The sequence below is a fragment of the Homo sapiens genome, chromosome 1 (assembly GCF_000001405.40).
Source record: "Homo sapiens chromosome 1, GRCh38.p14 Primary Assembly".
Lineage (NCBI taxonomy): Eukaryota > Metazoa > Chordata > Mammalia > Primates > Hominidae > Homo > Homo sapiens.
In genome coordinates, this window is record NC_000001.11 from 159,953,862 (window position 1) to 159,979,541 (window position 25,680).

The 25,680-nt window shown below is 45.4% G+C and overlaps 1 protein-coding gene, 1 long non-coding RNA gene and 1 pseudogene across 5 annotated transcripts in view; 1 reads left to right on the top strand and 2 right to left on the bottom strand.

Moving 5' to 3' along the window:
- Positions 1-25,680, bottom strand: part of SLAMF9 (SLAM family member 9) — a 32,493-nt gene that overhangs the window by 2,370 nt on the left and 4,443 nt on the right. For 3 of the 4 annotated variants that reach the window (NM_001146173.2, NM_001146172.2, NM_033438.4), the window contains exon 1: positions 231-376. In NM_001146173.2, coding sequence (NP_001139645.1) covers positions 231-276 — 46 coding nt within the window. In that variant the 5' untranslated portion in view covers positions 277-376. Of the gene's footprint in view, positions 1-230; positions 377-19,936; positions 20,067-25,680 lie in introns of those variants that run through there. The other variant, XM_017002756.2, reaches the window with a different exon arrangement.
- On the top strand, positions 7,363-25,225 carry LINC01133 (long intergenic non-protein coding RNA 1133). Its single transcript, NR_038849.1, has 3 exons — positions 7,363-7,544; positions 22,783-23,251; positions 24,739-25,225. It is a non-coding gene; the product is annotated as a long intergenic non-protein coding RNA 1133 (long non-coding RNA).
- FCRL6P1 (Fc receptor like 6 pseudogene 1) lies at positions 19,136-20,270 on the bottom strand (annotated as a pseudogene).

The window sequence follows — 25,680 nt, forward strand, 5'->3', positions numbered from 1 at the left end:
TTCACCCTCCAAGTTTTACCTTCTCCTTTGCCATCTTGGGATTGCTCTTTCTTCCATATCCCCAGGTGTCTCTCGGTCCTGCCCTGAAGCCACACACCCTACTCCTTGTAACTCCAGAAGAGCTGACACATTCAACCCCTAAGAAAGGGTCTTACTGGCCCAGACCCAGTGGGGCAGGGGAACAGAGGTGTAGGGGACATTCCTGTGCACGAGCTGGCAGCTTCACTCACCCTCCTGGAGCAGCAGGAGAAGAAGCAGCCAAGGAAAGGCACACATGTCAGCAGCCCCCAGCCCCAGAGGTGTGATTCAGTCAGTCAGTCCCCAGGACTGTGCAGAAGACTGCATTAGGAGGCTCCTAGACACAAAGAGCCTGACTGATGGTCCTGAGAAAAGGGAAATAATTTTCCCCTGACTACAGCCCTCTGACGTCCTCTGTCCTCACTAAGCCCCTCCCTATGTATCATGGCTCTCTTAGTTCTCTTTCAGATCCTGATTGTCATGACAGTTTACTCACTGACTCATGATGCCATCCACCAAACTCAGCCCAAATCCCACTTCCTAAATGAAGTCTTTCAAGACTTCCTACCCGCCCCAGGTCCCCGCACGTACTGCATGCCCCGAACTCGTAGAACATTCCCTATCCTGTTATTTGGCTCCCAGGATATTCTTCCCTAGCTCTCTCTGGGTAATTCCTATGTTGCTGTGATCATTTGATCTTATAAACATCTATATCTCCCCAGACAGACTTCATCTTTCATTTCCTGTGTATGTCCCATTATTGCTGGCCCCATACTAGACATGTGTCTGCACTCAATTGATAGCTTTATAATGGATGAATGATTAAGCCTTTTTATTTAAAGCTAGTTATGTTCCCACCTGAGAGGCTATTCGCAGGGGAAAAACATTTGATTCAATCCTCTTTAAGAAAGCAGTTTGGCCGGGTGCAATGGCTCACATCTGGAATCCCAGCACTTTGGGAGGCCGAGGCAGGCAGATCACCTGAGGTCAGGAGTTTGAGACCAGCCTGGCCAACATGGTGAAACCCCGTCTCTACTAAAAATACAAAAATTAGCTGGGCATGGTGGCGTGCCCCTGTATGCCAGCTACTCAGGAGGCTGAGGCAAGAGAATCACTTGAACCCAGGAGGTGGAGGTTGCAGAGAGCCAAGATTGTGCCACTGCACTCCAGCCTGGGTGACAGAGCAAGACTCTGTCTCAAAGCAAAAAAAAAAAAAAGAGAGAAGAAAAAAAAAAGTAGTTTGATCAGAGAGTTGATCTATGTTGTTCATATTATGAAAAGACTTTAAATCGTTTTGTGAGAATACAATGTTGATCAACTTATATGAATTCAGATTCAAGAAGAGACTGCAGAGGATCAGGGTTATTAAATAGCTTCCTGGCAGTCAAAGCTGTTCTGGATGCAATGGGCTGCCTTAGAAAGTAGCTTCTGTCCCTAGTATTCAAGCTAAGAGGACAATCACTTGCTTGGATTATCTGCAACATCTCTGCCATCAGATGGATTCTCAGACTGGATAATCTTTAAGTTTCTTCTAATAATCAATTTTATGAGTCTGTGCTGTGAAGAGTGGTGTCTCAAGACCAAGGGAACAATAGAGGAAGACGTATTCAGCTTTGGTCTTGTGCCAACATTTCCTAGTTTTAGGTTAGCAAATTCAGAAATCTGTTAAATGTTTATTGAGTAGCTTCTATGGTCCATACACTGTCTTAAGTGCTGGGGAATTAACAGTGACCAAGAATTTTAGATCGTGACTTCATGGAGCTCATAATGCTAACAATTGACATTGGACAAGTAACTACAAGTTTGATGAATCTTACCAAAGGAATAATTGAAGGAGCCTATAATAAGGCGATTTGGCAAAGTTGGAGTCAGGAGGGTTGGGGAAAAGCTATCAAGGAGAGATATTTAAGATGAGACCTTAGTTCTTCAAAGATTGGTAGAATCTGCTTAGTGAAGAAGATAATGAAGTGAGTAGTTCTTAAATTTCAATTTATGAGTATAAAACCTGAGGGATTAGAATTTTTTCTTAAAGGTGAACCAGATTTCAGTCTGAGTATAAAACGTTTTTATGTAATAAATCTGTTTAACAAATAAAATTAGATCCAGCAATCCCACTGTTGGGTATACATCCAAAGGAAATGAAATCAGTATGTTAATGAGGTATCTGCACTCCACGCTTATTGCAGCACTATTCACTAGAGCCAACATATGGAATCAACCTAAGTGTCTATCAATGGATGAATGTGTAAAGAAATTGTAGATATATACACAATGGAATACTATCCATCCTTAAACAAAGAAGGAGGCTGGGCAAGGGAGCTCATGCCTATGATCCTAGCGCTTTGGGAGGCCAAGGCAGGAAGATCCCTTGAGGCCAGGAATTTTAGACCAGCCTAAGCAACATAGAAAGACCCCATGTCTACAAAAAAAATTTTTAAACATGATCAGGGCATGGTGATGCATGCCTGTAATCCTTGCTATATGTGAGGCTGAGGTGGGAGGATTGTTGAGCCCGGGAGTTTGAGGGTGCAGTGAGCTATGATCATGCCACTGCACTCCAGCAGAGACCACCCAGAATAGAGATGCATCTACTCCCAGCCAGGGGTAAGAGAGAGGGAACCAGCAAAACTTAACCAGCAAAACTGCCCTTAACAGAAAATAGTGCATCCTAGCCATCCTCCAGGCCCACTGAGTGCAAAGCCACTCAGCTAGGTAAGAAGAGTTTTGACACCTCCCCATCCTCCTGGAGTGAGGAAAGCTGAGTAGCGGGTGGTAAGTTGAGAGGGAGCAAAGCAAAACAAAACAAAACAACAACAACAACAAAAAGAAGGAAATGCTACCATTTACAACAACATGGATGAACCTGGAGGACATTATGTTTAGTGAAATAAGCCAGACACAGAAAGACAAATACCACATAAGTTCACTTAATGTGGAATGTATAAAAAGGTTAAACTAGGCCAGGCACGGTGGCTCACACCTGTAATCCCAGCACTTTGGGAGGCCGAGGCGGGGGGATCACAAGGTCAGGAGATCAAGACCATCCTGGCTGACAGGGTGAAACCCCATCTCTACTAAAAAACACAAAAAAGCTTAGCCGGGCGTGGTGGCGGGTGCCTGTAGTCTCAGCTACTCGGGAGGCTGAGGCAGGAGAATGGCGTGAATCCGGGAGGCGGAGGTTGCAGTGAGCCGAGATCGTGCCACTGCACTCCAGCCTGGGAGACAGAGCGAGACTCTGTCTCAAAAAAAAAAAAAAAAGACAAAAAAAAAAAAAAGATTGAACTACAAGTAGAGAGTAGAGTGGTGGTTACCAGAAGCTGTGGGAGGGGTGGGGATTGGAGAAATATTGGTGGAAAGATTTCAAAAGTCAGTCAGATAGGAGGAATAAGTTCAAGAGATCTATCATACCATATGGTGACTACAGTTAATAGCAATGTATTGTATTCTCAAAAATTGCTAAAACAGGCCAGGCACAGTGGCTCACACCTATAATCCCAGCACTTTGGGAGGCCGAAGCGGGTGGATCACGAGGTCAAGAGATCAAGACAATCCTGGCCAACATGGTGAAATCCTGCTTCTACTAAAAATACAAAAATTAGCCAGGTGTGGTGGCGGGCGCCTGTAGTCCCAGCTACTCAGGAGGCTGAGGCAGGAGAATTGCTTGAACCTGGGAGGCGGAGGTTGCAGTCAGCCGAGATCGTGCCACTGCACCCCAGCCTGGCGACAGAGCGAGACTCCATCTAAAAAAAAAATTGCTAAGACAGTAGATTTTCAGTGTTCTTACCACAAAAAAAGATAGTTGTATAAGACAACACTTACGTTAATTAGCTCGATTTAGCCATTTCACAACATATTCATATTTTAAAACAACATGTTGTACACCATAAATAGGTATAAATTTTTGTGAATTAAAAAATAGAAATAAAAAATAAAAGCAAGGAAAGAAAAGAAAACAGGGTCATGAGTATAATGCTCAGAGCTTAAAGGGTGAGAATACCGTTAGATTATCTGAGAAGCAGAAGCTGGAGTTCAGAGATAAAGAGTTTTAATGTGGGGAAAGGCCTGGAAAAGATAAATGGAGAAGGAAGCAGGTGGAGCCAGAAGGGCCTCAGACCTTGATGCGTCTCACAGTCTCAGCTGACTTAGCAGGGAGCTCTGGCACCGACTGCCCGTTAGAGAAGGCCTGTGGTGGGCAGGCATGTCCAGGCACTGGGACTCTAGCTGTGCAAGACTGTCCTGGTGCCAGGACTCTTGCTGTGCACAGCCATGGGCTGGGGCTGCCGGGAACAGCGTAGATCCCGAAGGTGCTGCAGCTAGAGCCTGTCGGTTAACTGCACTTCTTGCAGCCAAAAATGTGTTTACTCTTGAAGGGGGAGCCGAGGCTGCTACAGTGAGTATGCTGATAGCCAGAAGGTAACTGTTCAGATTTATTAAACCTGTCTCCATAAGTAGGCATAAACAGTCCATGATGCCTATTGAGGAGAGGAAAATAATTTCCACCCCACTGAGCTCTCCGAGTCCAGTGTGGAGAAAGTCACTTCTGAGAGCATGATTGTCAAGTCTAATTTTCGTTTCTTCACTTTTTTTTTTTTTTATTAAGAGACAGGGTCTTGCTCTATCACCCAGGCTGGAGTGCAGTGGTGCAATCATGGCTCACTGCAGCCTCAACCTCCTGGGCTCAAGTGATCTTCCCATCTCAGCCTCCCAACTAGCTGGGACTACAGGTGAGCACCACCATGCCCAGCTAAGTTTTTTAATTTTTTTTTATAGAGATGGGATGTGGCTATGTTGCCCAAGCTGGTCTTAAACTCCTGGACTCAGGGGATCCTCCTGCCTCAGCTACCCAAAGTGCTGGGATTACAAGTGTGAGCCACAGTGCCTAGCCAAGTGTAATTTTCATTCTTGCTAATGGATTGTGATTCAAATAGAACTTCAATTTTTTTCTCTCACTGCCCTTTTAATCTTATTCAGTGGGGTAGTCTTCTCTGCCTCAGATGTGAACTCTGGCCTCGGTCTCAGTCCAGAAATGAGTACTGGTCTCGGTTTAGAAATGAGTACTTCCTGTGCCATGTAATATTCAAAATTCCAAACTTACCTTATTATCAAATAATCTCCCTTACCCTGGCTTAGGTCTTCCAGGCTAGAGGCTGGTAGTCGGGGAGGGAGCAGTCTCTGCTCTCTACTATGCTCAGCTTGCCTCTCTGAATCTGTTCTCCTCCTTCCCCTCAACTCTCCTCCCCCAACTCAGGTTTCCTCACTCCAGGAGGATGGAGAGGTTGGGGAGGTGTTAAAACTCTTCTTACCTAGCTGAGTGGCTTTGCACTCTGTGGGCCTCACAGATGGCTAAGATGAACTATTTTTTGTTAAGGGAAGTTTTGCTGGTTAAGTTTCTCTCTTACCACTGGTTCCCTCTCTCTTACCCCTGACCAGGAGGTGGATGCATCTCTATTCTGGGTGGTCCTTTGCAACTCCTTCATCAGCCCCTGGACATCTGGCCACACATCTCATCTCCTCCTCCCCAGAGGCCTGTCCAAATGCCCCTATCGTACAGCACCCAGGACAACCAAGCAGGCTGTGTCTCATGGGTGGCCCTTAGCTACCCATGACAAACATTCCTTGCCCTGGCAGATCCTAGGATCTACAACATGGCACCATACTCCTGGCTCCCTCATGGGAGCCCATTACCGGTTTTAACTCTCCCAGACCTGTCATAGGTGCCTGTCGCCTCTGACTCTCACTTGCGGGGCCACATTCCAAAGCTCCCTAAGCCCTCCCCTTGAAGTCTTCTTTACTTGGCTTGTGGTCAGAGGTGACATCACTATACCCTGGGGAAGAGGTGTGGACTCACAGTAAAGTTCTTTCCAAAGAAGTCTCTTTCTTGATCTCCCTTTCTCAGCCCTCCATCCATAGATGAGGGGGTTCCAAAGGCAGTGACACCAGTTCTCCTTGACTCCCATTGTACGTTCCTCAAGGGCAGATCTCCCTCACATTGCCTTTGATCTCCTGATACCCATCACACTGTCAGCTTAGCGTAGCGTAACTAAGGCAGGAAGAGACCCATTCTAACATCTTGCTTGTAGCAGACACTTAGGGTTCCCTGTAGCACAGCCTGTTTATCCACCTGACTTCTTTATATATATATATATATATTATACTTTAAGTTCTAGAGTACATGTGCACAACGTGCAGGTTTGTTACATATGTATACATGTGCCATGTTGGTGTGCTGCACCCATTAACTCGTCATTTAGCATTAGGTATATCTCCTAATGCTATCCCTCCCCCCTCCCCCCACCCCACAACAGTCCCCGGTGTGTGATGTTCCCCATCCTGTGTCCAAGTGTTCTCATTGTTCAATTCCCACCTATGAGTGAGAACAGGCGGTGTTTGGTTTTTTGTCCTTGCGATAGTTTGCTGAGAATGATGGTTTCCAGCTTCATCCATGTCCCTACAAAGGACATAAACTCATCATTTTTTATGGCTGCATCTACACTGCTGTGTGGGCAGTTTCATGATGGAGTGCCCCATGAAGTTTGCACCTGGGCAGTCTGTTTTTCTGCTTCCAGGCTTTCTCTGATGATCTTTTTTTTTTTTTTTTTCCTTTGAGACGGAGTTTCGATCTGTTGCCAAGGCTTCAGTGCAGTGGTACCATCTCGGCTAACTGCAACCTCCACCTCCCAGGTTCAAGCAATTCTTCCACCTCAGCCTCCCAAGTAGCTGGGATTACAGGCGCATGCTACTACGCCTGGCTAATTTTTGTAGAGACGGGTTTCACCATGTTGGCCAGGCTAGTCTTGAACTCCCGACCTCGTGATCCACCCGCCTTGGCCTCCCAAAGTGCTGGGATTACAGGCATGAGTCACTGCCCCCGGCCACTTCCAGGCTTTCCCTATGACAGTGGAAGGCCACTCAGCCAAGCAACTGGGAAGTATGCAGGTTGGGGGGGTGCAGCTGAGGGAGTGCCATGTTGGTGAGTAAACGTGGATAAATGTTCCAGCCTCCCTGCCCTATTCCATGAGCAATTCTGAGGCATGTTCTCCCTGGTTCCTCAGAGGGATTGGGCCCCAGTTGTCCACAACGGTAATCAACTATTAACACACCCTTTTCTTTGGCTTTCCTCCCTTCCTTGTCTCATTTTCCTCATTCTTTCTTCTTGGATTATCTCCCAGAAAGACGTCCTCCACCCAAGTTTTTATCTAAGGGTGTGCTTTGGAGAGAGACCAAACTATGACATTATTATATATAATAAAGTAGTTGCACCAGTAATGTTTAGACTTTCTCTCTCTTCTTCCTGGATCTTTAGGAGCAATTAAGCCAATGAGAAATCAGACCCACACCCCAATTCTGATGTAACAGCCTTGGGAAAGAGGTTGCAGTGAAAAGCTGGTCCTGCTGTGGTGGAGAGAATGGAGGAAAGATAATAAAAGGCCAAACCTTTGCTCCAACTTTCTCCTTAGCTTCCCTTTGGATCTGGAAAGCTGGGGACCCACACGGCAGAGCCATGGTACTGGAGGAGCCATTAACAAGTAAGTTCCAAATAAATCACCTCCCTCCCGAGGCAATGTGTGTTGAGATCTGCATGTGTCTTCTATCCTATTCTGAGGCCAGCCTGTGCACTTGATATATGGTTTCTTTTTCCTTTCTTTTCTTTTTCTTTTTTAAGTGTCAGTGTTAAAAAGGTGATTATTCAATTGAACCATGAAGGTGGATGGAGAGAACTGTAAGCGTCTGCAAATTGTTGAAGTGCACCCAAAGGAGTCATTGTGAAACAAAGGAGAAAAGAGTGTTCCTCGCAGAGGGAGCAGCCTGTGCAGGATCCTTGGGGTGGGGGAGAGAGCTGGGCACACTGAAGTACAGAAGAAGCCCACACAGGCAGGGCCGAGAGATGGAGGCAGAGAAGAGTGGAGATGAGGCTACAAAGACGGACTGCAGGCCGCTCACTGGGGGCGTATAGACCTGCTGAGTTTATAAGTTATGCACTCAAGAAGTTTACCTTTGGCCGGGCGTGGCGGCTCATGCCTATAATCCCAGCACTTTGGGAGGCGGAGGCGGGCGGATCACAAGGTCAAGAGTTCGAGACCAGCCCGGCCAACATGGTGAAACCCCCGTCTCTACTAAGAATACAAAAATTAGCCCAGCGTGGTGGCACATGCCTATAATGCCAGGTACCTGGGAGGCTGAGGCAGGAGAATTGCTTGAACCCAGGAGCTAGAGGTTTCAGTCAGCCAAGATAGCGCCACTGTACTCCAGCCTGGGGACAGAGCAAGACTCCATCTCAAAAAAAAAAAAGGTTTACCTTTGACGGCAAGGGGAACAGAGGATGGGAGGCAAAGGGAAAACATGGGGTAGAGGGATAATTTTATTGCCAATGATTTCGTTTTAAGAGTGGAGATGAGGCTACAAAGATGGACTGCAGGCGGCTCACTGGGGGTATATAGACCTACTGAGTTTATAAGTTATGCACTCAAGAAGTTTACCTTTGGCCCGGGGCGGCGGTTCACGCCTATAGTCCCAGCACTTTGGGAGGCCGAGGTGGGCGGCGGAGATTTGAACATATTTAAATGCTGACGAGCAGATCCAGTAGGAATAGGGGTTGAAGATTTGGGGAAAAGGTGATGATAATGGAACAAGGCCTCTCCCTGACCCCACCCCACCCCACACACACCCAGAAGACAGGAGGGAACTGAGATTCAGAACCAAGGGAAAGGAACTGACCTTGGATTACAAGATGGGCCTCGGCTATAATGAGAAGAAAATGGGCAGAGATGCAGATAGGTTTGTATGAGACAAGCAGTTAAGGGAAGGCCTGCACAGTGGCTTCGATTTTCTCTGAAGTGGAGTCAAAGTTATCTGCTAAAACTGAAGGTTTACGTGAAAGGCAGGCATTTCAAGAGAATGGAGCAGGTGAGGTAACTGTGTGTTAAGGTTTCTTAGGAAGGTCCTCATGTAAGCCTGTTATCCTGCCCTAATTATTAAGAGTGCCCCCTTTCACTCTCAGAAAGTGCTCTAGTTTGGAGGATAAGTTATGGTTACCCTAGAGCAGAAGCAAAATCTTACTAAAGGAATCATAGTGAAACAGCTAAACTTTAAGAGTTCAAGGCTGCCCTTACCTTTTTGAGTCAACAAATTGCCCTAAAGATTTAGAAGGAGATGGTGGGTGGGCAGTGTCGAAGAGCATGCCTCTGGAACCAAACTACTTGGGTTCCTTCGTCTGCAGAATGGAATACTCACAATACCCGCTTTATAGGGTGGTTGGGAAAATCAGATGAACTAATGGCAGAAAGCATTCGGCATGGAGTTGGCACATGGTGAGGGCTCAATGAATGTGAGTCATGGTTATTACTGAAGGTTGGTTAAGCATAAAGACAGTGGGCTTTGGCATTAGAAAGACCTGGGGCCCCTTGGTAATTGGCCAGGGTCTGTAATTATTGAAGAGAATACACAGGAAGTCTCTAACATAAGACACGAGAATAGGTTTATTCAAGAACGTTAGCTGGCAGCACCAATCAGCCCACAGTCTAAAGAGACAGCAAGCATTGCTGTTGGGAGGTACAACCCAGCTCGGTGTTTTCCATGCCAGTCACCTGTTCACCAGATCAGCCTGTTACATATGAAGAGATGGAACATGCTGGGCTGATCCCCTTAACCACACTGTAAGGGCAACCCATTCCTTGTCTCTCAGGCTTCACACATCTCAGATTGGTTCATGCACATACATACCCTTTCCTCAACTTACCTCTTAAGTACAATGTGTCTGCCCTTCTTTCCTAAAATGGACTCGGCTCATGTTCTTCTTGATTGCATGTCCTGTGACTCCCTGATGCTTATTGATCTCAAAATGTAGGTTTCATACCACCTGCATCATAATCAAGCTGAGAGCTAGTTAAAATGCTTATTTGGGCCAGGCGCAGTGGCTCACACCTGTAATCCCAGCACTTTGGGAGGCCGAGGCGGGCAGATCACGAGGTCAGGAGTTCAAAACCAGCCTGGCCAACATAGTCAAATCCCATCTCTACTAAATATACAAAAAATTAGCTGGGCAAGGTGGCGAGTGCCTGTAATCCCAGCTACTCATGAGGCTGAGGCAGAAGAATCGCTTGAACCTGGGAGGCAGAGGTTGCAGTGAGCAGAGATCACGCCACTACACTCCAGCCTAGGTGACAATGCAAGATTCTGTCTCAAAAAACAAACAAACAAACAAAAAAGACAGAAACACTGATTTGGACCCACTGAGTCATGATGGGAGAAAGCAGAGTGTGGCTTGTGAATCCACCTACTTATCAAGGTCCCCCAGTGATTCTACTCTAAGCTAAAGTTTGGGAATCACTACACTTCACCTGCTCTTCTGTTCTGTTGGAGCAGAGAGGAAGTTCCCCAGCCAGTGATATCTTTTGTTTCCAATCACAAAGGGTTTCTTTCCCCCTAAGTAAAGCCATGAAACAACACTCTGCTTCATTCTTGGTCTGGCCTTTGGAGAATATGAGAGGGGCTCCGGGAGCTTTTAATCTGTTCTCCTGGGCTTTCTGAGGAGCTGTCTCAAGGACTGCCGCAGGGAAGCAGGTGCAAAGCCAGGGAGCTTCAACCACAGAGAGCCTGCTTTTATCTTTTCACACAGGGAGTTCTGATGCAGAACTTGTTTGAAAATGGTGTGCTCTCGCTAAAAGAAAAAAGTTTAGAATCTACGGATCTTGTCCAACCCTTTATTTCACAAATTAAAAACTAAAAAGCAAACAAACAGCAAACAAAAACCAGAGGTTCGGAGTGGTGGAGAGACTCCCTCAAGGTCACAGTTTAACGGCAAACCTGGGGCCAAAACTCGGGTCTCCCGGTGTCTTGTTGGCAGGATTTTACTTGATTAAACAAATTTGAGAAGTAACAAAACTATACCTGGCATATAGAAAGCCCTCAGTGTTATTATTATTGTCATCATCAATAATGTGTATTTGTATTCCTTTGCTGTTATTAATTTGTATTTGAGACTGGAGGCACACAAAGAAAGCACAAAGGAAACAGAGGGGAGTGGCTTGAGGGAAGCCCTGGGCCACCCAGACGGGTCTGCACACGATGCCATTTTTCTTAGTTAATTCAGCACTTTTCACAATACAGGCTCAAACTCTAACTCATCAATGTCCCAGAGTTGATCAGAATCTGGAATGCTGCCTCATTTTATCAGAGATGTCATCAAACTGACATATAAAATTAGCCATTCATCCTACAATTATTTATCAAGCTTCAATTAAATGCCAGGCACTGTTCTAGGTGTGGGACACAGCAGTGAACAGGAAAACGCGAAGCTTACATTATTGTCAGAGTCAAGGTTGGGGGAAAGCAATACACAACAAACAGATCTGTACCGTCTGATCAGAACACTTTATAAAGTACCGTGAGGAAAAACAAGGCAGGATAAAGGAACACCAAGGGATGGGGGCAAGAAGCCTTTGGTTAGAGTGTTCTGATCAAATAGGCCAGTTGCAGCTCCATCGCCCTGACATTCCCTCCCTGTACACAGTCAGTTTGGGGAGTTGTCAACAGAAGGCTGCCTAGGGAACATGGTGCTAGAGGAAAAGAGATGAGCTAAGATTCAACACTCTGATGACAATCTATGGTATCCATCTCCAGCGAGGCTCCTTCTGTAAGGTTGCCTGGATACTGCATCTGGCTGACAGAGTCCCCAGACAGAACTTGAATAGGCACTGCCAGGGTGTGTACTTCTATGACTCTCCTTTTGCAATGGGCCCACACCACCCACCTCATTTTTCTAATAAGGTATGTACCTTCATTTGATTATTTGTGTCATTAGGGATAATTTGCATACCTCATCTTTGATCCACTATGTATTGTCTTAATACTTTGGAACTCAGAAGGCAATCTCATTTTCTCCTTTTCCAGGGCTATTCACCTTCCTTAGTCCCATATTAAAATGTTTCTTTTTAAAAAGATATAAATTATGCTTAATTAACAAATCATAATTATATTACATTTATATAGTACAATGTGATGTTTTGATATATGTCTACAATTCCAAGTGATTAAATCAAGCTAATTAACATATCTATCACTTCACTTCCTTGATATTTTTGTGGTGATATATTTGAAATTACACTTTTAGTTATTTTGAAATATACAACATATTATTATTGATTACAGTCATCCTGCTGTGCAGTAGATCTCAAAACTTATTCCTCTTGTTTAGCTGAAACTTTGTACCCTCAGACCAGTAATTCCCCATTCCTTCACTCCTCCTCTGCCCACTGCCTCTGGGATCCATTATTCTTCTACAAATTCAACTTTTTTTATATTCCACATCTAAATAAGATCATGCAGTATTTACCTTTCTGTGCCTGGCTTATTTCACTTAGCATAGTATCCTCTAGATTCATTTGTGTTGTCCAAAATGACAGAATTTCATTCTTTCTAAAGGCTGATTAGTATTCCATTGTGTGTATACACCTCATTTTCTTTATCTATTTATCCACTGATGAACATTTAGATTGAGTCCACATCTTAGCTATTGTACATAATGCTATAATAAACATGGGAGTTCATGTTAAAGGGATATCCTTTCAACACAGCCATTTTAATTCCTTTGGATATATTCTCAGAAGTGGGATAGTTGGATCATATGGAAGTTACATTTTTAGTTTTTTGAGGAACCTCCATACTGTTTTCCATAATAGCTGTACTAATTTACACTCCTACTAACAGTGTACAAGTGTTCCCTTTTTTCTGTGTCTTCATCAACACATGTTATCTTTTATCATTTTGATAAAAGCCATTCTAACAGGTGTGAGGTGATACCTCATTGTGGTTTTAATTTGCATTTACTTAGTGATTACTGATCCTGAGCATTTTTTAATGAACCTGTTAGCCATTTGTATGCCTTCTTTTGAGAAGTGTCTGTTCTAGTCATTTGCCCATTTTTTAATCATTACTTGTTTTCTTGCTAATGAGTTGTTTGGATTCCTCATATATTTTGGATTTTAACTCCTTATCAGATGTATAGTTTGAAAATATTTTTTCCCATTCTGTGGGTCTGTTCACTTTGTTGTTTTTGTTTTTTTGTTTGTTTTTGTTTTTGTTTTGCTATGCATAAACTTTTTAGTTTTATGCAATCCCATTTGTTTATTTTTGCTTTTGTTACCTGAGGTGTCAGAGTCAAATCCAAAAAATTCTTGTCCAAACCAATGTAATGAGGGTTTCCCCTTATGCTTTCTTCTAGTAGTTTTATAGTGTCAAGTCTTACATTAAAGTCTTTCCCGTTTTGAGTTTTTTTTATTATACTTTAACTTCTAGGGTACATGTGTACAATGTGCAGGTTTGTTACACAGGTATACATGTGCCATGTTGGTTTGCTGCACCCATCAACTTGTCTTACATTTGTTATTTCTCCTAATGCTATCCCTCCCTTGAGTTGATTTTTATGCATGGTGTAAGATAAAGATCTAATTTCATTCTTCTGAATGTGGATAACCAGTTTTCCCACACCATTTATTGAATAGATTGTCCTTTCCTCATTGTAGGCTTTTGGAACCTTTGTCAAAAATCAATCAACTATAAATGCATTGGTTTATTTCTGTTCCATTGGTTGATGGATCTGTTTTTATGCCAGTATTTGATTACAATTTCCTTATAATATACTTTAAAGTCAGGTCGTGTGATGCCTCCAGCTTTGTTATTTTTGCTCAAAATTGTTTTGGCCATTTGTGGTCTTTTGTTGTTCCCTACGAACTTAAGGATTGTTTTTCTATTTCGCGAAGAGTGGCATTGGAATTTTAATAGAGATTGCCTTGAATCTGTAGATTGTTTTGGGTTAATATGGACATTATAACAGTATTAACTTTTCCAATCCATGAACATGGAATATCTTGCCGTTTATGTGTGTTTTCATTCATTTCTTTCATTAGTATTTTATAGTTTTCAGTATATAAGTCTTTCACCTCCTTAGTTAAATTTACATCTAACTATTTTATTTTATCTTTTGTTGCTATTGTAAATGGGATCGTTCTTAATTTTCTTTTTGGATAGCTTGTTATTAACATACAGAAATGCCACTAATTTTTATATGTTGATTTTGTATCCTGCAACTTTATGGAATTTGTTTATCAGTTCTAAGGGTTTTTGATTTTTAGAGTTTTTTATATATATAAGATCATTTCATCAGCAAATGAAGACAATTTCACTTCTTCCTTTACTATTAAGATGGCTTTTATTTCTTTCTCTTGAATAATTGCTCTGGCTAGGACTTCAAGAACTACGTTGAAAACGAGTAGTGGAAGTGGGCATCCTTGTTGTGTTTCTGATATTTGAAGAAAAGCTTTCAACTTTTCTCCATTGAGTATAATATCAGCTGTGGGCTTGTTGTATATGGATTTTACTGTGTTGAGGTACATTCTCTCATACTTACTCTTTTGAGAACTGTTCACACCACCCCATCTCATTTTTGTAATTCTTTAGGGATAGCGTGCATGCCTCATCTCTGATGTACCAAGTATTTACTTAGCACCTTGAGACTCAGAAGGCAATCTCATTTTCTCTTTTCTCAGGGCTACTCACTCCTCTCCTTCCCATTAAATATTTTCCATTATCACATGCAAAATCGTCTCTCTTCCCTATCAAGTTCCCCAAATACCCTGCCAGTTACAATGGTTTTGTGGCACCCATGGTACTCTTCTCTCTTGGTCAAATCCTTCTTTGTAGGGGAGAGAGGGACTGTCTGGGATTCTGACCTTGAACATTGAAGGTGGCTCGGAGTTTGAGTCATTGGATTGTGAGGCAGGATTTCCTATGTCTGAGAGGTTTCTTCTCTGAGAGGAAAGAAGCCTGGTAGCAGCACACCAACAATGGAGACATTTTCTTCTAGTCTATGGAAATGGTTAAGAAGTAGGGAAGGCCCAGGCACGGTGGCTCACGCCTGTAATCTCAATACTTTGGGAGGCCAAGGCAGGTGGATCACCTGAGGTCAGGAGTTCGAAACCAGCCTGGCCAACATGGTGAAACCTCATTTCTACTAAAAAAAACAAAAATCAGCCAGGTGTAGTGGCAGGCGCCTGTACTCGGGAGGCTGAGGCAGGAGAACCACTTGAACCCAGGTTGTAGAGGTTGCAGTGAGCTGAGATTGTGCCACTGGACTCCAGCCTGAGTGACAAAGCGAGACTCCATCTCAAAAAAAAGAAGAAGAAGAAGAGGTAGGGAAGAGCTTGGGGATTCCCCCTCAAACTACTAGAAGAGGAAATGGGAAACAGAAGGAGAAGTGGAGGGTCAAGGAGCAACCACTCCAACAACTCTCTGGATGGAGGAAGAAGAGGTGGAGAGAAGTTTTCTATGATGGACAATTTCTAGCACTAGGGATAGCCAATTTTGCTGACTGTGGATAGCTGCCTGGGGGGGATGGATAAGGGGGGAAGGGGTATAGTCCCTAACTCTTTGCTTTCCCAAGCTCACGTGATGAGGTATTACCCAAAGGCTATGCAGCTAAGTCCTTCCTCTAGAACAGTGGCTGCTGAACTTAAAAAAAAATCCATGCAACCTTTCCTCAATGGAAATATTACAAGAAACTCAATATGATAAAAAATAAACTATTCTTGTAGAAGCTGGAGGGAGTATCCCATCTCAGCACTTTGCTTAAACCCCAAGGCAATGCCTTGGAGCCTTAAGGGTTCTAGGGAGCCCCTCTGCTCGGGGATTGCAGATGGGCAAAACAATGGGGCAGCATTGGCAGGTGTAATTCCTGGACTTTCATCTCCATTTCAACTAGAATAGCTGGATTTTCACCTAGTTACATATTAGGCTTATGAAAATATTTCCTGGACAGGGGAGAGGAATATTTTCCTTAAAAACATGTTCCTACACCCCACTTAAAATCCTTTAAAATAGTGTTTATTAGCTGGGTGCAGTGGCTCATGCCTGTAATCCCAGCACTTTGGGAGCCCGAGGCAGGCAGATCATTTGAGCCCAGGAGTTCAAGAGTCACCTGGGTAACATGGCAAAACACTGTCTCTACCCAAAATACAAAATTAGCTAGGCATGGTGGTGCACTGGTGCACTTCTGTAGTCCCAGCTACTCAGGAGGCTGAGATGGGAGGATCGCTTGAGCCCGGGGGTGAAGGGGGAGTGGAGACTGCAGTGAGCCGTGATCGCACCTCTGCACTCCAGTGTGGGTGACAGAGCAAGACACTTCTCAATAAATAAATAAATAGATAAATAAATAAATAAAATAGTATTTATCACCTTTGGTATAGCCTTAAAACCACAAAAGCATGCCATATGCTCCTATATGTAATCATGGCTCACTCTGGCAGAGGTCCTCAAAGTTGGGCTTTCTGCCTCCATTGAGAATCACTAACCTGGGTTTAGCTGAATGATTAGAAAGATAAAACCCAAGCCACCTCATATGAGGATAGTGCAGACTTGCTCCCCTGAAATGCTTTGTTGCAATCAATGACCGTGGCCTGTGTCAAAGAGTGTTATAAAGCAGGAATATTCAGAGGGGCTATGGAAAAGATAAGGCTAAAGATGCTGTTCATTATCATCGCACAGTGTTTTCTTGAGAAAAAATGCCTCCCAGTGGTAGGAACAGCAGGGCCATTTCTCTGAGCAGCCCTGTGATTTTACAGTAGACTTTATTGTCCTCTTGGAGTTGCTGCTGGAAAGCAGAAAGCTACATTTGTAGCCCTCCCATAGCCATGGATAGAACACTAAAGCATAGTTTGGATACTGAGCTTGTTCCTTGCTGCAACTTATTTTCCTACCCTACTTTCTTCTAACCTCATCTTCCTAACTAGTATTTTATCTTGCGACAGTGTGTACATTTTCTAAGACGTGTGTGAGAGTTTAGCCAAGTGTACAGTCAGAAAGAATACAGTCTACACAGGACAGCCCTCACTTCTGATACCAACTGCAAGTTCAAGGAGTTCCAAAAACTACCCTCAGTTTTAATAATTTGCTAGAAGGATTCACAGAATACAATGAAAGCTGTTATATTCATGGTTATGTCTTATTGCAGAGGAAGGACACATATTAAAATCAGCCTAGGAAAGAAGCGCACAGAGTCCAGGGAAGTACTAAGTACGTCCTTTCCCATGGGGTTAGGACAAGGTACTCTTCTGGCATCAGTGTGTAACAATACACACACAATATTTCCAACCAGGAAAACTCGCCCAAGCCTCGGAGTTTTTACTAGGACTAAATCACACGCTGCCCACGTGGCTGACTGTCAGTCACCGGCCCTTCCAAAGGTCAGGCTGACACCTTTGTTCTCCAGTCCCTCTGGAGGTAGAAATGATAGTGCTTGGCATAAATCCCTCATCATAAATCACACTGTTGAACTGTCTGATGGCCAAGGCCCTTAGACAAACAAAGACACTCTTATCAGGCATGGCATTCCAGGGCCTAGAGATCGGCAGCCCACAGCGGAGGGCAAAGGCCAGACCTCTCTTTGGGAAAGGCTGATTCTTCGCTAGGCAACAAAAATTCATCTTTAGAACAAGCCAACAAGAAGGAAGGAAGGAAGGAACAAACCAACCAATCAAACTGGACTCCTCAATCCTGCCCTGCACTGACAATGACACTGCTGGAGAACAAGGTCCCTCAGGGAGAAGTCCAGGGTGAAGGATTCTAGCAGGGACCCTCTGTGCTCATAGCCGTTGAGCCCCTTTATGAGCTGGTACCCTGGGTTGGAGAAGGGGGGTTAAGGGTGCCACCCAGCTCTTAGTGAGGTGAAGAGAGATATCACATAGTGTCCTCTGAGACCAAGGAAGGTGCAGAGATGCTCAAGCACATCAAGGCTGACTTGGACTCGTTCTATCACCTCATTTTATTGGGTAAGATTCCCAGGCAGAAGGTTAGGACGTGCAGTAGAAAGTGGGCGTCCTGGCAGCTTTGCAGGACCATTTGGGAAGGACGCAGGGTCAGGGTCACAGTTGACACCCAGGCCCTTAGAGCTACTTTCGTGAATCTTCAGGCCGCACCTGGACAAACAGCTATTGTTTCTCCCCTGGCACTCTGAGGAGTCCTGGGGAACTCAGAGGCCTGTGATTGTCCCCTTACCCCCGCCACCAAAACACAAAACAAAACAAAAAAACTTGTCTGTAAGGCCACAGAGCTCCCTCTGCAGAACAGCATACAGACCCATGTCAATGGCTCACCCCAGCAGCAAACGGGAAGCAGGAGACGTAGACAACCCTGGGGGGAGGGTGCCTAGAGAGCTTGGAGAGTCATGAGGGCCAAGCTGAGGATTCTGGGCTCCTGTAGGTCTCCCAAGCCCACATGCACACGAGACTCCAGCTCCTTCCACCTCTCTGTTCGTGCCCTGTGTGTGCCTCTAGCTCTGGCCCCCGCCTCGCCCCTCACCCACACCCTACAGCCTCACTGCTGGAGAGAAGTTGCCTATGTCTTAGGCCAAGAGCCAGAAGGCAGCTCAGTGTTGGTGAGACCACAGGAAACCAGTTCTCTGGAAGGATCCACAACTTCTGTGGTTGTGAAAAGGACACACATCTCACTGCTTGGGCCCTGTTGCCCTTGTTTTCCTAACGCTTGAGATTCCTCTGCCTCCACACATCTGCCTCCTCCAAGCTCCCCTCACTCCATGCCAGGCTGCTGAGGTTGCAGTGATGACTGAACCATTATCCTAGCCCCCAGGGCTCAGAACCCAGTTAAAGGACAAGATGCACCAACAAGGGAGAGCTTTTGGGCTCACTCCTCTCTCTGGAGATGCTGTTCTCAGCCTTGCAGGATGAGATCCCAGCATCCTGCTCTGACTTCACTGGGAACAAGAGGGAAACAGCTCCACCATGGGGAGCCGAGTGATCCCCAGGACAGATACCCAAGATCTCTCCATTGAGGTAGAACAAGTACAGGATTGGAGGGGAGCCCCTCTGGGCCTCACAGAGGAGCTGTACCACATCTTCCACAGCAGGGTCAGCGGGACCGTGGTGCAGAGTGAGCACAGGATGGGACACAGGAGCTGGGACACACATGGGATGGGAGGCTCAGCCTGACCACCCAAGACCCTGGCTCCCTCCTCTCCTGGGGACACTTCCCACAACTCCTCTCCTCCCAGGGGGTCCCACTGCATGATGCCCAGACCCCTGGGGGCGTCGCCACTCCCTCGCTCATTTACCCTGCACTCTGACCTCCAGCTGGGGGCTCTGCTTCTGGACCTGGCCACCCTCGGGGGCCGCCTCACACCAGTAAAGCCCAGAGTCTCCCTCCTTGACTCCTGGGATGCAGAGTTCTGGGTGGGGGCCCCTGTCCTGCAAGGTGTGGCCATCCTTGTGGAAGGAGAAAAGGAGCCTCCAGGCTGACCTCAGGGGGTGCAGCTTTGTTTGACATCTCAGGGTAACCAGGCTTCCCTCTTAGGGCTCAGGAGTGGGGGCGACACTCAGTACAGGAGGTGGGAACTGCTCTGGGGAGATGCAGGCCCAGGGCTCAGGAGGGGAGTCCTGGATGATAAAGCCCCAGGAGGCTGAGGCCTGAGCTTCTACTCAGTCCAGGCTGCAGCCCGGGAACCCCAACGGGAGGCAGTTTCATCACCAAGACCTGTCCTCTTGTCCTCACCCACAAGCTCTGAAATGACTCCCACACAGCCAGACCCTTCTGGAATCTTGGAAGTCAGAGGCAGAGGGGGCCTTCGAGGTCCTCTAGTCCACAGAGGGGAAGGGTGAGCCTGGACTGGTCCAGGCTTTTCCCAGTGCCCCACTCCCAGGAATCTCCCCCCTCCTTCCCCTGGCTACATGTGTCCCCCATGGTGGGGAGATGGGGGTATTGAGACAACATCTTGGGAAACCTCGGGTCCCCACACATTGGCCCAGCATGAGGGGCAGCCAGAGACAGGGGTCCTGTCCAGAGAGCTACTGATCTCTAGAGACGGGACCCCTGAGAGGCACCTCCTGCCCCACAAACTCCCAAGCTGGTGACTTACCTTGGACTTGAACCATGGCAGTCTCTGAAGTTTGTGTGAATGTCTGTGGAATATACATCACCTGCCCAGTGCAGCTGTACTGGCCACGGCTCTGCATTGTTGCTCCTCTCATGGACAGAGTCTGGTTTTCCTTAGAGAAATGAAGGAATTTTCCATCTCTGTAGAACTTCACCTGAGACAGTGGTGTATTCTTCCATCCCTGACATCACAGAGTCAGGGCATCTCCTTCAAACACAGGGTTTGGCCAGGCTTGGAGGTACAGCCAGGCTGCAAGGCAGAGGAACAGGGCAGCCCTGGAGCTGCAGGTCCCATCAGTCACTTCTCTCCCTCTGTCCTCCAGCCTAAGGCCTCTGCTGGGGATGGAGGCCCTTGGATGGTACCGGTGCAGTGTCACTGTCTCCAGTCCTTCATGCTGACCAGAGAAGGGCAGGACCTGGACTTCCTTTTACTCCCTCTCCTCCCTTTCCTTCTCTCCTTCCTCTTCTCTTCCCATCTGCCTCTATCCTTTCCCTTTTCTTCTCCCTTTTTCTCTCTCCCTGATCCTACCATATATTGGGTTTTCTTCCCCATTGACATATTTGGTTCCAGCTAGAATCATCCCAATTATGTAGCTATCTTATTCCTCCTGAACAGATTCCAATTTCTTCACACTTCACATGCTGCCCCAGTCCAGGCTGACCCAATAGTCCCCACCTCCAGTGACAGCTCCAGGTCCGGACGTGTGAGAATCCAGGGATTGAAGGAGCCTGATCTGGCTCGCTCCTACCTTCTTCCTTAAAGGCTCCCAGAGGTCCAGACTCCATCGATGCCCCACACCAATACCGATCCCCAGCAGGGGCTTCAGTTTCCACCCCAGCCATGCAAAGGCCCCGTCCTGTCTGTTCTCATCCTAAACTTACGTTCTCTGTCCTGATTGGGCAGGACAAGGGTCTCTCCCCAGGTATGGAATCTCCCATAGGTCAGGTAGCCTCAAGAGCCAACAGCCATGGCTGGGAGTCAAGCCTGAGGATCATGATGAAGGATGGCAGAAATGGGGCTCATGGAAGAGTTCCCTTCTCATTCCCATTATGAGCAAGAAGAACACAGGTGTAATCAGCCTCTTCCTGGACCATAGGCACCTTCCATCACTCCTGGAACTTATGAGGATCACAAGGTCCCTGAGCATAGGCCCGGGTGTTCAAACCTGGTTTCTCTATTGCCACCAACCACAGAGCACTTGGGTTTCCAAGTGTGGTCTGAACTCCTTCCCCAAGCAGTAACATAGATAACTCCCTGGGAGTCTCAGTACTCATATGTACGTCAGAGATCTCATCTCTTTAACAAAGGTACTGATTCAATGGAAGGCAGAGAAGCAGGATTTATTCATTATTCATTCATTGACTTATTCATTCATCAATCATTTATTGAGTACCTCTACATGCCAGGCCCTCGGATATATGCTAGTTTATAGTGTAGAAAGCGAAAAAAGAGATAAAGTGTGACAGAGGGGGCACAGAGAGGAACTGCTTAGTTCTACCTGGGGAGGAGACCCAAAGAGGTGAGATTGCTTTGACCTCATCTTGCAAGATAAGTATTCAGTATAAGGGAGATGTAGGGAGAGGCTGTTTCAAGATGTAGCCACATGAGCAAGGACACAGCCAGGAGTAGTCTGGGAACTGGTGGAGTGTGGCATGGCTGGAGAGGCAGGCTGTGAAGAGGATGTGCTAAGAAGTAAGCCTGGGGAGGCAGTAATCAGACAAACTCAAACTACACCAGAGCAGTGGGAAAGGAAAGGAGGGATTTGAAATTGGGAGTAATTGAATCAAACTTGCATTCGAGATCTGATGGCTGCCAAGTAAAGAATGATCAGAACAGGGTGAGAAAAAGACTGAGCCTATTGCAATTGCCTGGGCAAGAGAGAGAGGTGTCAGCTGAAACAATGGCAGTGAGGTGAAAAGGAGGGCGTAGATCAGAGTGACACTAAGGAGGCAGAATCTATAAGACTTGATGATACAGACTTGAAGATTTGATGAGGGTGAGGGGCAAAAGAGAGGGAGGAATTCAGGATAATAGGAAATTGAGGGCAAGACGCTGATCTGTAGGAAAATGTAAGTTAAAATGTGTCCATCTTCAGATGAGATGTTCTTGGCATGGCCAGGTGGAGATATCCCTCAGTTAAAGTCTATATGTAACTTCAGGATCTGTTCTGGGCTGGAGATAGAGACTTGGGAGTCATTTACATTTGGTGGTGCTTGAAGCCAGCTGTGTGGATGGAGCACTCCAGAACTCAAGGAAGGAGTATAGGTTGTAGTGTGTGTGTGTGTGTGTGTGTGTGTGTGTGTGTGTAAGTTGTTTTTAACCTGTTGCTTTTTATATATAAAGAATATCTATATAATATATATGGCTTAAAATAGCACAAGGGCAAAAACAACTAAGATGGTTATTAATAAGGAATTTGTTAAATAAATTATGGTCCAGCCATATAATGAAATATAATGTAGCCATGAGAAAGAACAAGGTAGATCCATAAATACCTGTATGGAATGAGCCCAAGATAAAGTGTTAGTGAAAAACACTAAAAGCAACATGTGAAGCCATGTGTACAGTGCACCTCCATTTGTATATAAAAAGAAACATGCATACATATTCACACACATATGTATGCTTGCATATGCATATAAAATGTTTAGAATGTAAGGGAAGACTGGGTAACCAACTCATGGGCTAGGGTGAGGGAGAAACAATTTTCACAATGTGCTTCTTTGTTCTTTTTTAAAAAATTTAATGCATTTACTATATTCACATATATGTTTCAATTAAAAAGCTAAATAAAATAAAATATTCCAATCTTCTTTATTTCCCCATAGAGCTTTCAATAAACCTCTCTTTCTTGAAGTTACCTGAGAATGGATCCATTCCCTGCAACTGAAGATTCTAAGGAACTGGGTTTCTCAGTATACAATGGGAATGGTTGGGAGGAGGTAAAGAGTAGAAGACAGTATCAAGAATCCAGAGCCCAGCACCTGTAGTCCTAACTATTCAGATTCCTTGAGCCCAGGAGTTTGAGTCCAGCCTGGACAACATATTGAGACCCCCATCTCTCTAAAAAAAAAGAGAAAGAAAGAAGGAAAGAAAAAAAGAAAGAAAGAAAGAAAGAAAGAAAGAAAGAAAGAAAGAAAGAAAGAGAAAGAAAGAAGGAAAGAAGGAAAGAAGGAAAGAAAGAAAGAAAGAGAAAGAAAGAAAAGAAGATTGTAGCTAGGGGGAGAGTAGGTGAAAAGATGAACAACATGACCGGGAAGATTTCCTAATCTCACCACAGCCTGGCTCTACCTTAAGGTAGGTAGATGGACAAGTATAGCTACCTGGGTCACAGATGCTAAGATGACATCCAGACAGGTCAGAAATTAAGAAGAAAGGCAGATGAGGAAGGATAAACCCTATCTTATAAGACAAATTCCTGGCACTCATTTCTTTTTTAAGTTTCCTTTTTGCTTTCCCTAGTCCTGCATTTTTGTTGAAGGCAGAAGATTAGAGAGAGACAAAGAATGGCTGAGTTGATATCCTTGTAGTTACAGTCTGAGTTCCCAGGTAGTACTGGAAGACGTGAGGTTAGCAGATGTAGTCTTTACTTCAGGAGAAAAAGAAGAGTTTTCTGCTAGAAATTGGTTCTAGTCTCTTTTCTACCCTCCTCCCATGCCATCTCCCCAGTTATAGAAAAGATTAGTCATGTCCCTGCAGGGTTAGCTCCCTATAGGGCCAGTGACAGCATCCTTCAGCTACTGCTGGTAGGGCTAGGACTTCACTCAGTAGAGAAGCCTGGTGTAAATGGAAGAAAATGACCAAAGAAAAGCGGAACGTGACCAGGCATAGATGTTTGCCACCAGGAACTGGGGAGGGAAAGGACCCTGAGGCTTTCTCGCCTAGACCCAGACCACAGCCCTGTGCAGACAGGCACAGAAGCCTGAGCTCAGTAAGATGGAGCCAGCCATCTACACCTCAGCCAGACAGCTGTCCCCTCAGACAGACATTTCCAAACAGCCCAGGTGGTCAGAATGGGACATGAACATAGGCGTACTCATGGAGACATGCAGGAACATGAGATCAAAGGCTCGCCAAACTTTCCATCACAGGGACCTGCCATGGGGAAAAGGGAGGGGGTGAGATTAGATAATAAGGACCTCCTGACAGAAAGAGTGGTTAGAAGTGGGACTGGTGCATACAGGAGGATCTGTGGCCTTTCTTCCTCCCTCTTCCTACACAGATTTGAAAACTGCCAGCCCCCACCACTGCCCCACCCCACCAGGTCATAGTTCCTATTAAGTTCCATAGGAACATTTCTGCACTGCATCCTGGCCATCCTGGCTTCAGGGTCTCCACAGAGTGAGCCCATGTCATACCCCTCCCCACTTCAGGAGGAACAAGACAAAAGGGCCAGGTGAGACCTCAGTGACAACCACCTTGTCCTCCAAGAAGAAGCAAGCAGGACAAGACTTAGGGGTGGGAGATGGGGGCAGGCGAGGGGAACTTCATAAAGGAGACCTTGACTTTGGGGTTGTTAGGAAAAAGGTGGCTTTAGACAGGACTCCAGATCTGACGAGGTGGGTCTCAGGCACATAGGAAGATTTCCTAATATCTCCAGAACCTGGCTCTACCTTAAGGTAGGTAGATGGACAAATGTAGACACCTGGGTCACAGATGCTAAGAGGGCATCCAGACAGGCCAGCAGCTAAGAAGGGAGACAGATGAGCATGCATAAACTGTATCTTATAAGACAGATTCCTGGCACTCTTTTCTTATTTAAATTGCCCTTTTGTTTTCCCTAGTCTTTAATAAAAGCTTGACTGAAGGTACCAAGGTGTGCTGAAGTGGAAGCAAAGTTCTCCAAAGTCCAGCATGGTAGACATCAGTGGTGGTAACCAAGGACAGACCCCAAGGCAAGGTGAACCTCAAAAATGGAACCTCAAGTCTATGCAGTCCAGCTGCCCTCCCCACCAGAAAGTCCTTGTTCCAGCCCAACATCAGTGCCTCTGAGTTTGTTTACTAGAAACAAAGGAAGAATTTCCTTGTAAAAATATAGACAGAGTAGTCCCTGGCTTTCTCCTCTTGCAGGAAGGATGGATTCTCCCATTCCATACCATCTTTCCCCCACACTGGCCCCAGAAATACTTAATTCAACTATGTGAAAATAAAGATTGTTTTTGGTTTGAGGGCATAGGGATCCATTTATCCTTATTCTTTATGAGGCACTAAATTAGCTTTGTATGTTATTAAATGTGTCTCGTCAATGCTGTTGGCATTGTTTCATTTTAACTTCTATTTGGTAATGTTCAATTTTCTGAATGTGTGGATCACTTAGCATGAGCAGAAAACCCTGCAAAAGTGGTGGAGGTAAGGAAAGGTTGTAATAATGGTTACAAAGCAGGAGCAGCATAAGGCTACCTAGGTGGTACGGTTTGAGTTGTTTTGGGAAAGCCCTTCTTAATCACCTCTCTCTAGGACACCACCCCAACACACATGAAATTCCGCTGATGTCTTTTTGGTTGCCACTATGTTCCCCAAGTTCTTTTAATATGCAAACACTGGTAGGAAAATAAGAAGAAATCACATCATATCTCTGTTTAGAAACTGGTCTAAGATGTTTATAAATGTTCAGAAAAAATGTAAATCTCCTTGGGTAAGCAGGCTTAGATGAAACTATGAGCTCATGTTGGCAAATGTGCAAGCTTTAGCATTTAAGCCAAGTGCTTTAAATCAATCTGAGCTTC